A 15,152-nucleotide genomic window follows, 5' to 3' on the forward strand; every position below is an offset into this window, starting at 1 on the left:
TCAAAACAATGTAGGAAATACGTATGTATTGACATAGAAAGATATTCACAATATGTTAAAAGAAAATGCAGGTGAGTGCAATATGATTATTTCTAGTTAGTGGCTGTTTTTTGTCTTCATTGTGGTTAAGAGCAAGGACTTAGGTGTAGCAGGCTGCCTGGATTGACTGGGCACAGCCACTCCCTGGTCTGACCTTACCATGCTCAGTGCCCTCTTCTGAAAAGGGCATGATAATAACAAGAACCACAAGCAGTCGTGAAAACCAAACAAGTGAATCTAATCCATAGAAGTGTTGAAAATAGGGCCTAGCACTTGTAAGACTTCAATAGGTGCTAACCTTCATTATTTTTTAAAATGTCATTAGTGAGATATAATTTACATACCATGCACTTCAACCATGTCAATCAGTGGCAGGAAGTTCTCATGGGCTGCAGATGCTGGGCTGTAAGTAAGGTGCAGACTATTCCAGATGCGATGTTATTTTACGAGGTCAGGATTCCACTCTTTCTCCTGTCACACACCCAGGGCCTGACTACACTGAAGCACTAACAGGCCCTCTCTGAAGGCCAGTAACACGTTCACGCCTGACCCGAAAGTGCAAATCACCATTGTCTCCTTCTGTGCCACTCTACAACCCATGTTTCACACACTGGAGACACCTGACACTGCTTTTGCCCTACACATTTTTTTCTTCTCTCTCTTTTTTTTTTTTTTTCAGATGAAGTCTTGCTCTGTCACCAGGCTGGAGTGCAGTGGTGTGATCTCATCTCAATGCAACCTCTGCCTCCCGGGTTCAAGGGATTCTCCTGCCTCAGCCTCCCAAGTAGCTGGGACTACAGGCACCCACCACCACACCCAGCAAATTTTTGTATTTTTAGTAGAGACAGGGTTTCACCATGTTGGCCAGGGTGGTCTCGATCTCCTGACTTTGTGATCTGCCTGCCTCAGCCTCCCAAAGTGCTGGGATTACAGGTGTGAGCCATCGTGCCTGACCTCCTTCTCTTTTTAAAATCTGTTTTTTCACTGAGTTATAACTTTTATACAGTATACCCTATTTCCTTTTAAAATTTATTTTTTTTAAAGTGTGGCCCAATATACATAATAAAATTTACCATGTTAACCATTATGAAGTATACAGTACAGTGACATTATGTATATTCATCCTTGTTCTGCTCTCATCACACCATCCACCTCTGGAACTCTTTTCGTCTTGCAGAAGTTCTGTACGCATTAAATACTAACTCTCATCGCCTCTTACCCAACCCTCTGGAAACCACCATTCTACTTTTTGTCTCTATGAATTTGTTTATTTATTCATTTATTTTGAGATGGAGTCTCGCTCTGTCTCCCAGGCTGGAGTGCAGTGGTGTGATCTCCACTCACTGCAGCCTCCACCTCCAGGGTTCAAGCTATCCTTCCGAGTAGTAGCTGGGATTACAGGCATGCACTACTACACCCGGCTAATTTTTGTATTGTTAATAGAGACGGGGTTTCTCCATGTTGGCCAGGTTGATCTCAAACTCCCAACCTCAGGTGATCCTCCCGCCTTGGCCTCCCAAAGTGCTATAATCCAAAGGGATTATAGGCATGAGCCAGCACGCCTAGCCTGTATTTGACTACTCTACATATCTCATATAAGTGGATTCATAGAACATTTGCTCTTTTGTGACTGATTTATTTCACTTAACATGGTCTCAAAGTTCATTCACACTGTAGTATGTGTAAGAATTTCAACCCTTTTGCTGGGCGCGGTGGCTCACGCCTGTAATCCCAGCATTTTGGGAGGCCGAGGCGGGTGGATCACGAGGTCAGGAGATCGAGACCACGGTGAAACCCCGTCTCTACTAAAAATATAAAAAATTAGCCGGGCGCAGTGGCGGGTGCCTGTAGTCCCAGCTACTCCGTGGGCTGAGGCAGGAGAATGGCGTGAACCCGGGAGGCGGCGCTTGCAGTGAGCCGAGATTGCGCCACTGCACTCCAGCCTGGGCGACACAGCAAGACTCCGTCACAAAAAAAAAAAAAAGAATTTCAACCCTTTTGAAGGCTGAACAATCCTCTATTGTATGTCTATATCATATTTTGCTTCTCCATCTGTTGACAGATGCTTGGGTTGCTCCCGCCTTGTGGCTACTATGAATAATGCTGCTATGAACAGGGGCATACAAATATCTGTTTAAGCCCCTGCTTTTAGTTCCTTTGGGTATATGCCTCTGTTGATTTTATTTATTTAATTTTTTGAGATGGAGTTTCGTTCTTGTTGCCCAGGCTGGAGTACAGTGGTGCTATCTCAGCTTACTGAAACCTCTGCCTCCCGGGTTCAAGCAATTCTCCTGCCTCAGCCTCCTGAGTAGCTGGTATTACAGACATGCACCACCACGCCCGGCTAATTTTGTATTTTTAGTAGAGGCAGGGGTTTCACCATGTTGGTCAGGCTGGTCTCAAACTCCTGACATCAGGTGATCCACCTGCCTTGGCCTCCCAAAGTGCTGGAATTACAGGAGTAAGCCACTGTGCCGGACCTCTATACCTCTGTTGTTTTTAATGTAAAAATAACATGCCTCTATTATTTTTAATGTAAAAAAATAAAAATAATTTAAGGTCATACACTCTCACTGCATTTGTAGAACTCTATTTTCATTTCAATGCATCCTCTCTGGTGGCTGTTCATATGCAGGTATTTTTAAAAGTAAATGCTACTATAATGGACCAACAATTTTCCAACTACTCTTTTTTATGTCCACATTGCTAACAGAACCATAGACCATGGGCCTGAGCCAAGACTGATTTGTGACTTTATTATCTTGGAAAATAGGAAACGGAAAACACAGTGACCTCTATAAACATATATACGTACATACAAGATGTACGCAAGGACAAAAACATATGAATTCAGAGAGGAAACTCACACAACATGTACCCGTTTCACTTAAATAACTGGGGCTGGACTTTGAAAGAATGAGATGTGAACAAGACCTCAGAGGCACAGGCAGAGACATCTTACATGCACACACATGTGAATCTCCACAACACCCCTGTATGCATAGAGAGTGCAACACACCAGGACACACATAAATGGTAAAAAATAAACTCATACACACACAACCTCACACTTACCAGGATCTTCTCCTTGCCCCCAACTCCCAGACCGGCAATTTCTGAAGGCTGGGAAGGAGATCCTGCAAGAGAACTGAAAATAGCTCTGTGAACCCTGCCCTGGGCTCCAAGTGCCCGCCCACAGCCCTGTCCCATGCTCCCAGCTCAGCCTTGGCCCCATGCCTCGGTCTGCACACAGCCCCAAGTCCAACCCCCTGCCCCAAATCTTTCTGAGTCAGACCTGCTCTCTCTCAATACTTTCCTTGGACAGTACCTGTATCCAGCTCCTTCTGTCATAGTCATTCTCCCAAGGACACTCTGTAATCCACGCCAGAAATTCTGCTGTGGGCTTTGGGGACATAGGGACCCACGCTGGGCTAGCAGTAAGGGGCTGGTATTCCACGGCCAGTCAAGCTTGGGCCAACAACAGCTGAACTGCCTGCCTCTCTGGTCCCTCCTCCATAAAGCAGCAATGCAACAATCATCTTGTAGACACTGAGAACTTTAAACATGACCACATCCTTGAAGTCCCAAGCCCAGTCCTGGCATAGGGCAGCCCCACAAATGGTGTTAATCTCCTGCCCTCTGTTCCCTAAGCTGTCAGATAGGGCAACGCCTAAGCCTGCATGTTTTAGGGGTTGCTGTGAGACAGGAATTTTTAATAATTTTGACTAAGTTCTCCACATGTAAGATATCATGACCACCGAACTGAACAGTGCTGGAAGCCAAAGGTTCTATCTTTCGAACAAACTAGAGAGCAATTGGTCTATTGACTAATGTATGTTGAACACTACGTTAGAGCAGTAGGGTAAAGTTAGCCACACTCCTCAGTTACACACATCAGTCATACACACCTGAATGCACTTATTTATTTTCCCTCTTTAGCCTTATCCTCTATTCTCCCATACACCCACACTCAAACATCTATTCTACTCTGTTCAATATTTACCATTTTATTCCCACTTTATTTATTTATTTAGAGATGGAGTCTCGCTCTGTCACCAGGTTGGAGTGCAGCGGCGTGATCTCTGCTCACTGCAACCTCTGCCTCCTGGGTTCAAGTGACCCTCCTGCCTCAGACTCCCAAGTAGCTGGTATTACAGGCTCCTGCCATCGTGCCTGGCTAATTTTTGTATTTTTAGTAGAGACAAGGTTTCACCATGTTGGCCAGGATGGTTTCGAACTTCTGACCTCAGGTGATCTACCCGCCTTGGCCTCCCAAAGTGCTAGGATTACAGGCATGAGCTACCGCACCTGGCCTATTCCTACTCTTTTATTATGGTAAAATGTACATAACAAAATTGACTATTTTAACCATTTTAAGTGTACAGTTCCATGGCACTGACTGCATTCACATTGTTGTACAACCAACTCCACCATCCATCTCCAGAGTTTTTTCATCTTCTTCACCTGAAACTCCATATCCAGTAAACAATAATTCTCCATTCCCTCTCCCTTTGGCCCTTGGCAACCACTATCTCCTTCCTGTCTCTAAGAATTTAACTATGCTAGGTACTTCTGTAAGTGGAATCACACAATTTTTGTTCCTCTGTGGCTGGTTTATTTCACTTAGCATAATATTCTCAAGGTTCATCCACAATGTATCATGTGTCAGCATTTCCTTCCTTTTAAAGCTAAATAATATTCCATTGTATGGGCCAGGAACAGCGGCTCATGCCTGTAATCCCAGCACTTTGGGAGGCCGAGGCGGGCAGATCACCTGAGGTCAGGAGTTCAAGACCACCCTGGCCAACATGGTGAAACCCCATCTCTACTAAAAATACAAAATTAGCTGGGTGTGGTGGCACATACCTGTAATCCCAGCTACGAGGGAGGATGAGGCAGGAGAATCACTTGAACCTGGGAGGTGGAGGTTGCAGTGAGCCAAGATCGCGCCACTGCACTCCAGCCAGGGCAATAAGAGCGAAACTCTGTCTCTAAATAAATAAATAAATAAAATTTAAAAATTCCATTGTGTGACTACAATACATCTTGTTTTTCCACCCATCCATTGATGGACACTTGAGTTACTTCTACCTTTTGACTGTTGTGAATAAGGCTGCTACGGACATGGGTGTGGAAATACTCGTAGTCCCTGCTTTCAATTCTTTTGGGTATATCCCCAGAAACAGAATGACCGGATCATATGGTAATTCTGCTCAGTTTTTTGAGGAACTGCCATACATACACCACAGCATTTTCCTCAGAGGCAGCACTACTTCACATCTTCACCAGCAATGTGCAAGGATTCTAATTTCTTCACATCCTTTCCAACATGTTATTTTCTGTTTTTTAAAAGCGAATAGCTGGCCAGGCGCGGTGGCTCACGCCTGTAATCCCAGCACTTTGGGATGCCAAGGTGGGAGGAATCAGCTGAGATCAGGAGTTTGAGACCAGCCTGACCAACATGGATAAATCCCGTCTCTACTAAAAATACAAAATTAGCCAGGCGTGGGTGGCACATGCCTGTAATCTCAGCTACTCAGGCGGTTGAGGCAGGAGAATTGCTTGAACCCGGGAGGCGGAGGTTGCAGTGAGCCAAGATGGCACCATTGCACTCCAGCCTGGGCAACAAGAGCGAAACTCCATCTCAAAAACAAAGAAAAAAAGATAATAGCCATCCTAATGGATGTGAAGTGGTTCAATGTATATCTTTTTATTTGTATAACTTCTTTCAAAATGTATATAATTATTTTGTGTATATGTAATTTGTTTTACATAGTAGCATTATGCTATTCCTTTCCCTCTGTGTCTTACTATTTTCTGTTGGAACTGTGTTTAAAATCTATACATTTGTTTTATGTACATGGAATTCATTGCTTCTCACTTTTGCATAGCACTTTATAGTATGCATGAATCACATCCATGTATATTGAGAACCTACTATGTGCTTGTACCAAGCTTTCTATATGATTTAATCTGATTCCATACAGCAATCCTAAGAAGGTGTTGTAATTATCACATTTTATGGATGAGAAAACTGACACACACAGAGTTAAGGAACGTGCCCAGAGTCACACAGCCGGAAGTGGAAGAGGTAGAAGTTTAACCCAGGTCATTCTGGTGCCACAGAAGAGCTCACACGTGTAAGGTGTTACAAAGAGCTATAGGTAGAGATCTGACTGTAGACAGAGGCTCTCTCTTAGGTGAGGGCACTCTGATAAAAGTTCTAGTCCTGATTTGGCTACTTATCTTCACAGTGCAAATCACCTTCCCTTACAGACATCACTTTCTGTCTGTGTAAGATGAAGATGATTTTAATGCTTTTTCTAGATTCACTACTTGTTGATTAAATACCCTTAAGCTAATGGGAAAATAATCAGAATTGAAGTCAGGTGTTTGTTTCTTTCGTGTATTTGGAGTGGCTGGCCTACCTGGGAGCCACTCCAAATACACGAAAACCCTCTGATGTGTCTATTCACGAGGTGAACTGTTCATAGGATGGACTATTCCCAGGGAAACAGTTGCTGTCTCCACTTCCATCCCACCTCTCCTGAACTTTGCACTTACCATGGTGAAAAATTAACTGGGCTAATGTTTCCCTCCCAAGGACAACCTCTGCAAAAGCAGGTATGGCTGGGCCCCAAAAGACCAGGTGCCAGAACAGAGTTGTACCCATCCAGAGCAGCCCACCCATTCACTGCCCAAAGTCAAGATCAAGAGAACATGCAGGGTCTTCTCAGCACTGGAAGAATCAGTTCCTCAGCCCTCCTCAGAGCTTTCTGAAACTGGACTTAGTCCCCCAGTGGAGGGACTTCTCTTGGAGAAACAGGCCTGAGGAGAAAGAACTAGCCCAGAAATGGCACTTATTAGACTTGTAGGTGGGTCCAGCACTATTTTTCTGCATGCACAGCTGTTCTTGTCACACGGATGCCAGCAGGGAAGCATGGTTCTGCCACACTAACTAGCTGGCTGCCTAGTTATTTCCTCCCCTCAGGAAAATGAGAGGGCTGAATGAGGGCCCCTTCCCATACCATGATTTTACAGGGTGAAGTACCTGTCAGGTCCTTCTACTACATGTAATCCTCAAATCTCTCTGACGCTCTTCCTCTACAGTGCAAATCACTCTCCTTCAGCAGACATTGCTCTCTCTGTAACATAAAGGACTTGAACTACAGGAGGACAGTTACAATGCTCTTTCTGGATCCACCACTCTGCACAGTGAGAACCGCTTGCTCCATTCTTACAGCGGAGAGAACGGACGCTGCCCAAGGGGAAGAAGAGAAAGAGCCGGGATTGGAAGCCAGGCCAGTCACTGATGGATCCTGAGCCCCTCTTACTTTCTTTGGCTACCTCTCAATGGTTGGACTTGTTCAGGTTAAGATTAACACTTTACTGGACGATGATGACTGCAAGGCCCCTGCCCATCTTTGCCCACTCAGTCACATCATCCTCATCCCCACCCTTTGATGCTTCTCTAGGCTGTGAACGCCTTGAAAACCTTAGTCTTTTATTTTGGAAGTTCAGGAACTGAATAGGAGGGCTGCAACTCAGAGCTGCTCCGTCAATGTGTGTTAAACTTATTTGACCTCCCTCCACCACTTTTCATGGCATTAGCAATGCAAACCTTTTCACATGAGCTTCCCACAGCCACCCTAGGAGATCGCGAGGGAAGCTACCTCTAGCCCCATTTTACAGGTGAGCAAATAATCCTTGCAGTGTTACAACAGTGTGCCCGTGTAGAGAACTGTTTTGCAAAGAGCTCGATCAATGATGTCATCTTTGCCTTCCGTGACCCAGGCAGCTGGGTGCAGTCTCAAGATCGGAGACTGAGGCTTCAACAAAGTATTGGGTTCAAATTCCAGCTCTGCCACTTGGAACCCTGAGTAAGTAATGTAATCTCTCTGTGCCTCCGTAAACGTGAGGCACAGGAACATCTACCTCACCAACCACTGTTAAGACTGAATCAAAGGGCAGCAGGCGGACTACCCGGAATGAAGAAAGCAATCAATAAATGTGGATTGTGTCATCCTTGTCTCTCTTGACGGACGGGAAGAGGAGAGTGAAACCTAAGACCACAGCGGCAGCGCGTTAACAGGAGGACCAGCAAGGAACGGAAGCCAGGTTGTCAAGCCTCAGTTGGCTTTCACGTATTCTCCTTTTCAGGCGGGTATTTAGGAAGAGAGGAGGGTGAGGAGCACAGCGCACTTCTGCAGCAGCAGCTGCGGATTGGCTTGTGGGAGGCGGTTCTCCGGAGCAAGGCAAGGGCCCCTGCCGCTTCTGGGCTGACTGTGGATTCCGCCACACCTCACAGGGCTTTGTAACTCCCCACCCACTTGAGGGTTCCAGATAACTTTTTTTTTTTAACAAAGCAGGGGTGGGGGTGGGAGATTCCTGCTGTTAAAAACAAACAAAGGGCTTAGACACCGGCTAGTCGGCTGCGGGAGGCAGCAAGAGAAAGGCCGAGGGGCCTGGAGTAGCTCCTGAAAACCGCCGAGGGCCCTGCGGGCAGACGCCCCTGAATTCTTTTGGTGGGGAGAAAAGCCGCGGAGCTCCCCAATGTGCCAATTGGTTTGTTGTTGTTTTGCTTTTTTTGAATACACAAACTCTCCGAAAACTCCTGTCTTGCCCCACTTTTTTGTGAGTTCATTGCTTTGGAAACAAAACTCTCTTCCATTTATTGGCAATTATCAAATTTCCGATCCTTCTCTATCAGGAGATCCAGCAACAAACACCCTGTTATGTAAATTTCTTTCAAAGATAAATTCGAAAGCCCCTCCATTCATTCCTTCAAGAACTCAACAGATGTCCTTGAGGCTCATTTTCTGCCGGGCACTCGGTTCACAAGGCTCAAGAGACCCCTGGCTCCAGCCATTGTCCAGGTTGTCACTGGTGTCCCCAGCTCTCCACTTCTGAGGACCCACTTCTCACCCCCTCCTCCTCCGCACACGTTCCCGAGGCTCTCGGCCGGTGTGATCTCACCGACTAGAGAATAAAAACAGCCCAGGGGCGCCGGCGCCGGCCAAGGGCCTTGACGGGGATCAGCAAGCGCGAGGCCAAGTGCGGGCCCCAACTTCCTGGGCCCGGGCCTTCCGCGCGCCCCCTCTCGGGCTCGGGTCCTCTCCAGGGTGCACTCGCGTCCGGACGACGCTTACTTGCTGCGAGTCCAACCCTCTCCGGCCCGCAACTCCAACCGAGCCGCCCGAGTGTGGACTCCGAGAGCGGACGCCACGGGCCGCGCTCAGCCCTCCCGCCCGAGGCCCCTCTCGCCGTGTTTCCCAGGACTTCCTCCCCGCGCCCGCCCGACTTCAGGTCGGGGCCGCGCAGGGTCCCGCGCGCTCCAGCCAGGACTGCCGCCGCCCGGGTCGCCCACGTGGGCGTGCTGGGCGCGGGGTGGTGGCCGGCCGGGCGCCCTCCCCGGAGCAGGGGGCGGGCAGGGCGCCCGCGGGAGGAGGTGGCGGGGCGCGGGGGAGGAGGCGGGGAGCCCCGGCGGCGAGGGGGCGGTGACAGCACTTGGAAAGGAGGCTGCACGCGGATTTGCATGAAACACAGACTGGGAGCGGGCGGGAGCGGGAGCGCGGCGCACGCCCCGGGCCGGCCCAGCCAGCGAGCGAGCGAGCGGCGAGCCGGGAGGAGGAGGGTGGCGGGGCGGTGAGGCCGCAGAGGCGGAGGGATCTGCGCATCAAAGCTAGCGAGGCGAGCGAAGTTTGGCCGGGGGTTGGACTTTCCTTCCCGGAGGCGGCACCCAAACAGCTACCCCGTGCGGAAACCCAAACTTCTGCTGCCACTTGGAGTCTCGCGGCCGCCGCCTCCGCCCCGCGTTCGGGGCCTTCCCGACCCTGCACTGCTGCCGTCCGCCCGCCCGGCCGCTCTTCTCTTCGCCGTGGGAGCCGCTCCGGGCGCAGGGCCGCGCGCCGAGCCCCGCAGGCTGCAGCGCCGCGGCCCGGCCCGGCGCCCCGGCAACTTCGCCGAGAGTTGAGGCGAAGTTTGGGCGACCGCGGCAGGCCCCGGCCGAGCTCCCCTCTGCGCCCCCGGCGTCCCGTCGAGCCCAGCCCCGCCGGGGGCGCTCCTCGCCGCCCGCGCGCCCTCCCCAGCCATGTCGTCCATCCTGCCTTTCACTCCCCCGATCGTGAAGCGCCTGCTGGGCTGGAAGAAGGGCGAGCAGAACGGGCAGGAGGAGAAATGGTGCGAGAAGGCGGTCAAGAGCCTGGTCAAGAAACTCAAGAAGACGGGGCAGCTGGACGAGCTGGAGAAGGCCATCACCACGCAGAACGTCAACACCAAGTGCATCACCATCCCCAGGTGGGGGCCCGCCCGGGGGGGACCCGGGGTCACGCCGGCCCAGCCCCCTGGCACTGCGGGGCCGACCCAGTGGGGCTGGAGATGGGAAGAGGGAGAGAGAGGGAGGGAGTGAGACTGTGTGGGTGCGTGTGTGTGAGAGTGGGAGAGCGCGGGCAGGAAGGGGGTGGGGGGACCCCAAACAAAACCATCTCTGATTTGCAAAGATCAGAGCCCGAGGCTTCCACGCGGCACTCTGGCTTCCACACCTCACATTCCCTTTCCACCTCCGGGAGGGGAGAGCGGGTTGCTGCGGGACTCGGCCGCCCCCACTCCGGGGAGCTGGGGCTGGAAGTTGAGGCCCGCTTTGTTCGGCTCCGCGGGCCGGAGCCCCTCCTCCGCCGCCGCCTCCCGCCCCCGCGGCCCGCGCTCGTGGAGGTGGTGGTGTCTTTGCGTTTCTTTTCTTCAGTCGGGTCTCCCCACTTTCCTCTACAGGAATGCGGTCCGTACAGCTGGGGCTGTGGGTGAGGAGCGGGAGCCTAGTGATTGACAGATTCCTTCTTCGTTCTTTCTTTGCCTTCGGGATTAGCATTTTTATCGAGTATTTTTAGACTCGGTTGTGCCAGTCTCCCGCCCCCTGAGCATGCACGCACTTTGGTTGCAGTGCAATGCTCTGACTTCCAAATGGGAGAGACAAGTGGCGGAAAATAGGGTCTTCTCCCACCTCCCACCCCCCCATCCCGACTCTTTTGCCCTTCTTTTGGTCCAAGAGATTTTGAAACCGTGCAGAACGAGGGAGAGGGGCAGGCTGCAGCCGGGCAGATAACAAAACACACCCCAAAGTGGGCCTCGCATCGGCCCTCGCATTCCTGTAGAGCCTTCCTTCCCAAAGCGCGCTGCCATCTGTCTGGATCTCCTTTATCCTTCCCGTTGCGCGCTAGCTAGGTCGGGCGGGAGCCCACAGATGGCTGATAGAAGGGGTCAGTGACTTCACTCCCCCAGGGCCTTCCTTAGCTTAGATGTGCCTGGCTGGGAACTGGGGGTGCGGGTACCTTGGCTTCCTGTCTCTACCTCTCAGCCTCCTTTGATGCTGAACCAAGGGAGAGAGCGTGTGTGTTGGGGGCTGGCTCTTTTGGGGGTCCCAGGCTGCCGAGGAATGAGTAGAAAGCACCAGGGACTGTCAGCCGCAAAGGGATTGTCATCCCTGCTCCTGGGCCAGGGTGGACTCCATCCTTGGCCACCTGCTTGGGGCAGTTGTACAGGGGCTGCCAGGCGAGTCAGGCAGGCACAAAGCAACATCTGTCCACGGGAACCGAGGGCAGGCCTCCCCTGGAAATAAATGCCACATATGGTGGGAGTGCGGACTTAAATTTTTTTTAACTGGGTGGATCCAGTCAATAAAGGGGGAGGGAAGGCGGTGTGCTGTCTGGGGAAGTCTCTGGGCGTGTGATCGGGAGCCAGAATTGACTTCAGAGGAGGTGGTGTGATGTGATGGTCAGAGAGACCTGGGATTTGGTTCCAGCTCTGGTTGTTAATTCTTCTGTATTCCTTCCGTGGGGGTGGCTAGGGTAGAGTGGGTGAGTATGCTACTTCTCTTTCTGGGGAGGGGTCTGCCAAACCTACCTTCTCCTTATCTGCCTGGGTGCATTGAAGACAAGTGCTTTATGTATTGAAACAGAAGAAAAAAAGTGGTATCAATTGTAAAACAGGCAGCTGTGAAAAGTGTTTCACAGTTTACAAAGCACTTTCACATGGTTTTCTGAGGTCCTCAAAAAAAGACAGAAAGCAAGCAAGCAACCAGCCATGGAAAGTAGATAAGGTTGTTAGGCTTAAGATTATCACATTTTTAAAGCAGAGGAAACCTTAAAAGAGAGAGGTGAAAAGGCTTGAGTCATAGACATGGGGTTCTGCCTGAATGTGCTCTTTCTGCTGCCCCATGCTGCTTTATACTTTGAAGATCCTGAATACATTCTTTGCTGAATGCTAAAGCTGTGTTAGCTTGGGGAGGGCCCTGTGGATCTTTGTATGTGCGGTTGCTTCTTTAATCTTTGGGCTGGTGATAGCTTGGCAGAGAGGCCTTGCTTTCCCTTGCCTTGGTAGGAGTTTGTCCTCTGTGGGGCCATACCTTTGGCCTGCCTTTTCCTCTTCCAAAGTCCTGCTGAGACTTTGGAAGCCTAAGACGTGTGAACGCTTTGGATGATTCTGAGAGTTCAAGCCAACCTGCCCTGTGGCCTTCTCGTGACTTTGTTAGGACTGAGGCATCTTCTGCCTGCCTGGATAGGACTGAATACAAAAGTAGATTTTTTTTTTCATCTTTTTTTTCAGTTAGGGAAACCCAGTTGCTTGGGTGGATCCAGACAAAATGGATTTTCATCCTTGGATTTTGTGCCCACGCCTCTGGGTCACCTTGTGTCCCTTGGCAACAGCTGCTGCTGTTTTGGTCGTGGGCAGAAAACTAAAGGCCACGTCTTGGGGAGGTGGCTGGTTTGGCCCTGTGCTGGTGATATCAATGTGTCTGCTAAGCCCCATAGATTGCAGTGTTGCTTGTCAAATTGTCTGCTTTCACCACAACTGCCTTTTAGTTTGGAAAGTAGAGAAAGGAAAATGTTTAACTTAGTCATTCCCCCTGTGTGTGGGGGGTTGGTCACTGGGTGCTTAAAAACACTCTGCAAGATCTGGACTCCGGGGTTTAAGGAGCCCTCAGTCTAAGGAGATTAAGCCAAGTGTGTTTTGGCTAATATATAATCATGAGCAGCAACAGCAACATTTGGCAATTAGAGCTGTATACTAGGGACTTCCAGACCACAGGCTTGCTTCTCTGTGACACCAGCTCTGACTTGTTTCAATTATCAGGGGAGCTGGCGTGATACACACTTATCGACATAAAGAAGGTGAAAGAGATTGGTGCCAAGGAAGTGGTAAGAGCTTCATTTAGATACACCAACAAAGGGGCTGTCAGGATACTCTGAGGTCTGGCAGGATTGGCAGAATTTACACAAGTTTTATAACAGCCTCTCATGCCTCACCTGCTTGAGTACCTGAGTAAAGCTGCAGGTATCTTCCTTGCCAGTTTATAAGAATGGAATCAAAGCATTTGCCGCTGAATGAGAGTTGGTGTGTGAGCGTTATATGAGGAATAAGGAGCTCGGCACACTTAAAACTTAGTTTTCTGGTAGACACTGGTAGCTTGTACTTCCACCAGGGAATCCATGCCTTGGCCTCGTTGTTGGGAGCTAGACCAAGCTTAAAGCATTGCTTGTTTGGAAGGGAATTTGGGCTTTCTTGTGTCAGAGCACCCAGTCCAGTGGAAAATTGGAGAATTGAAGCAAACACTAGGTCTGACACACAGCATCTACTCCCTCCCTGTGAATCTGATGTTTTTTTTTTGGAGACAGAGTCTTGCCTTGTTGCCCAGGCTGGAGCGCAGTGGCATGATCTTAGCTCACTGCAACCTCTGCCTCCCGGTTCAAGCGATTCTTGTGCCTCAGCCTCCCGAGTAGCTGGGATTACAGGCGCCCGCCACCACGCCCAGCTAATTTTTGTATTTTTAGTAGAGACGGGGTTTCACCATGTTGGTCAGGCTGGTGTTGAACTCCTGACCTTGTGATCTGCCCGCCTTGGCCTGCCAAAGTGCTGGGATTACAGGCGTGAGCCACCGCGCCTCACCGAATCTGATCTTTTACTGTAGCCTCCTCTTATTATCTCCTTGACTTTTGCCAGGGTACTCTCACTTTGAGAAAGGAAAAAGATCCTAGTCTTTAACATGCCTTTTCCAGATTTCTGGGGATAGACCTATTACTAAGGCTGTAGAGGCCTCCCTTTTCTCTTGGCTGCACTTCAGAGCACCATGCCCGTGTGGCCCATTGGAAGCAAGCCCCCTTCCAGCTGCTAGGGAGGTGGTCCATTATCTCTTTGCTCTTGTTAAGTTTGATTAGGGGAGTTCCACGTAGGGCCTGAGAAGAGGAGGTGCCTGCAGGACAATAGGTAGCTGATGAGGGATCTGACTCAGCTGCAGCTGAACCTAGGCGCCACTTGACGTTCCCTGGGAACATTTAGAACCTTGGAACATGCTGCTTGCACCTGGGAGTGGAATGTTTGCAGACAGCCCCTCTGTTGTTACAGGGCTGGATTTTGTTGATTTATTGATATTTATTGGACCCTCCCATGTCTGAGTCAATTTTTTAGGTACCAGAGGAGGATGCAGAGACACGTTTGAGAAGCTCCCAGCCTGTGAGAAGCTTACACATCAGTAAGGGAAACATGAATAGGGCATTATTTGAGTATCTAACTGCTATCTCTTTCTCATTCCCAGCTACCAGTAGAAATATGAGATCTAGTATGGATGATTTTTGATGGGGGCGGGCGTTGATGTGCCTTTTAAATATTGTAGAATTCACTATGTTAGGAAATAAAATAATGACAGGCATCTGTTTTTTTCTGAAAAAAACACAAAATTCAGGTCCTGTACCTGCCATTTTACCACCTGCAAGGATTTGGGAATCCATTTAAGTTTCACAGCTTTTATATCTGCACCTGTCAAGTCAGGATGAGATAAGTTCTGTGGAAGTGTTTTGTGAACCAGAGAATTTGACAGGTATGTTACGTTTATACTTCATTCTGCATCATTCATTCATTATTGAATTATTCAGTCCTTCGTTGAGAACATACTACAATGACCACAGCAGGGTCCCTGTACTCAAAGAGCTCCCTGTCTAGAGCGGGAGACAGACTTGCCCAAAGGTATGAGGCATGAGCTGCAGCTGAGGAATGTGCTAAGTGCCCAGCAATGTGGAAACACAGTTAATTCTGTGGGAGGAGGTGTAGAGAGGAGGAGAACCCAT

The 15,152-nt window shown here is 49.7% G+C and overlaps 1 protein-coding gene and 1 long non-coding RNA gene across 5 annotated transcripts in view, besides 9 other annotated features; one reads left to right on the forward strand and one right to left on the reverse strand.

Annotated features, from left to right (window-relative positions):
• The window catches only part of SMAD3-DT (SMAD3 divergent transcript), a 79,976-nt gene extending 71,819 nt beyond the window's left edge, over positions 1-8,157 (reverse strand). The window contains exons 1-2 of the long non-coding RNA NR_135686.1: positions 7,091-8,157; positions 3,115-3,187 (exon numbers count right to left, since the gene is read on the reverse strand). This is a non-coding gene — a long non-coding RNA (SMAD3 divergent transcript). The remainder of the gene's footprint in view (positions 1-3,114; positions 3,188-7,090) is intronic.
• Positions 6,523-6,667: an enhancer, noted in NCBI's record as "145 bp enhancer 189 fragment used in the MPRA reporter construct; PK_construct_1843". NCBI's record gives its function as "activates an SV40 promoter by MPRA in HepG2 cells {active_cell/tissue: HepG2}" and the evidence as "EXISTENCE:reporter gene assay evidence [ECO:0000049][PMID:23512712]".
• Positions 6,588-6,601: a transcriptional cis regulatory region, noted in NCBI's record as "HNF4 motif; enhancer activity is reduced when this motif is scrambled". NCBI's record gives its function as "necessary for full MPRA enhancer 189 activity {active_cell/tissue: HepG2}" and the evidence as "EXISTENCE:site-directed mutagenesis evidence [ECO:0005528][PMID:23512712]".
• Positions 7,825-8,595: an enhancer, noted in NCBI's record as "NANOG-H3K27ac hESC enhancer chr15:67356188-67356958 (GRCh37/hg19 assembly coordinates)". NCBI's record gives its function as "activates a minimal SCP1, AML or CMV promoter by ChIP-STARR-seq in naive H9 embryonic stem cells {active_cell/tissue: H9 hESC(naive)}" and the evidence as "EXISTENCE:reporter gene assay evidence [ECO:0000049][PMID:30033119]".
• Positions 9,354-9,843: a silencer, noted in NCBI's record as "silent region_6573". NCBI's record gives its function as "represses an Ori minimal core promoter by ATAC-STARR-seq in GM12878 lymphoblastoid cells {active_cell/tissue: GM12878}" and the evidence as "EXISTENCE:reporter gene assay evidence [ECO:0000049][PMID:35858748]".
• SMAD3 (SMAD family member 3) overlaps positions 9,577-15,152 on the forward strand; it is a 129,568-nt gene continuing 123,992 nt past the window's right edge. For all 4 annotated transcript variants that reach the window (NM_001407011.1, NM_005902.4, NM_001407013.1 and 1 more), the window contains exon 1: positions 9,577-10,335. In NM_001407011.1, coding sequence (NP_001393940.1) covers positions 10,130-10,335 — 206 coding nt within the window. In that variant the 5' untranslated portion in view covers positions 9,577-10,129. The remainder of the gene's footprint in view (positions 10,336-15,152) is intronic.
• Positions 10,014-10,173: a silencer, noted in NCBI's record as "silent region_6574". NCBI's record gives its function as "represses an Ori minimal core promoter by ATAC-STARR-seq in GM12878 lymphoblastoid cells {active_cell/tissue: GM12878}" and the evidence as "EXISTENCE:reporter gene assay evidence [ECO:0000049][PMID:35858748]".
• Positions 10,135-10,903: an enhancer, noted in NCBI's record as "H3K27ac hESC enhancer chr15:67358498-67359266 (GRCh37/hg19 assembly coordinates)". NCBI's record gives its function as "activates a minimal SCP1, AML or CMV promoter by ChIP-STARR-seq in naive H9 embryonic stem cells {active_cell/tissue: H9 hESC(naive)}" and the evidence as "EXISTENCE:reporter gene assay evidence [ECO:0000049][PMID:30033119]".
• Positions 10,324-10,373: a silencer, noted in NCBI's record as "silent region_6575". NCBI's record gives its function as "represses an Ori minimal core promoter by ATAC-STARR-seq in GM12878 lymphoblastoid cells {active_cell/tissue: GM12878}" and the evidence as "EXISTENCE:reporter gene assay evidence [ECO:0000049][PMID:35858748]".
• Positions 10,624-10,683: a silencer, noted in NCBI's record as "silent region_6576". NCBI's record gives its function as "represses an Ori minimal core promoter by ATAC-STARR-seq in GM12878 lymphoblastoid cells {active_cell/tissue: GM12878}" and the evidence as "EXISTENCE:reporter gene assay evidence [ECO:0000049][PMID:35858748]".
• Positions 10,704-10,793: a silencer, noted in NCBI's record as "silent region_6577". NCBI's record gives its function as "represses an Ori minimal core promoter by ATAC-STARR-seq in GM12878 lymphoblastoid cells {active_cell/tissue: GM12878}" and the evidence as "EXISTENCE:reporter gene assay evidence [ECO:0000049][PMID:35858748]".

Source organism: Homo sapiens, chromosome 15 (genome assembly GCF_000001405.40).
Source record: "Homo sapiens chromosome 15, GRCh38.p14 Primary Assembly".
In the NCBI taxonomy this organism is placed as follows: domain Eukaryota; kingdom Metazoa; phylum Chordata; class Mammalia; order Primates; family Hominidae; genus Homo; species Homo sapiens.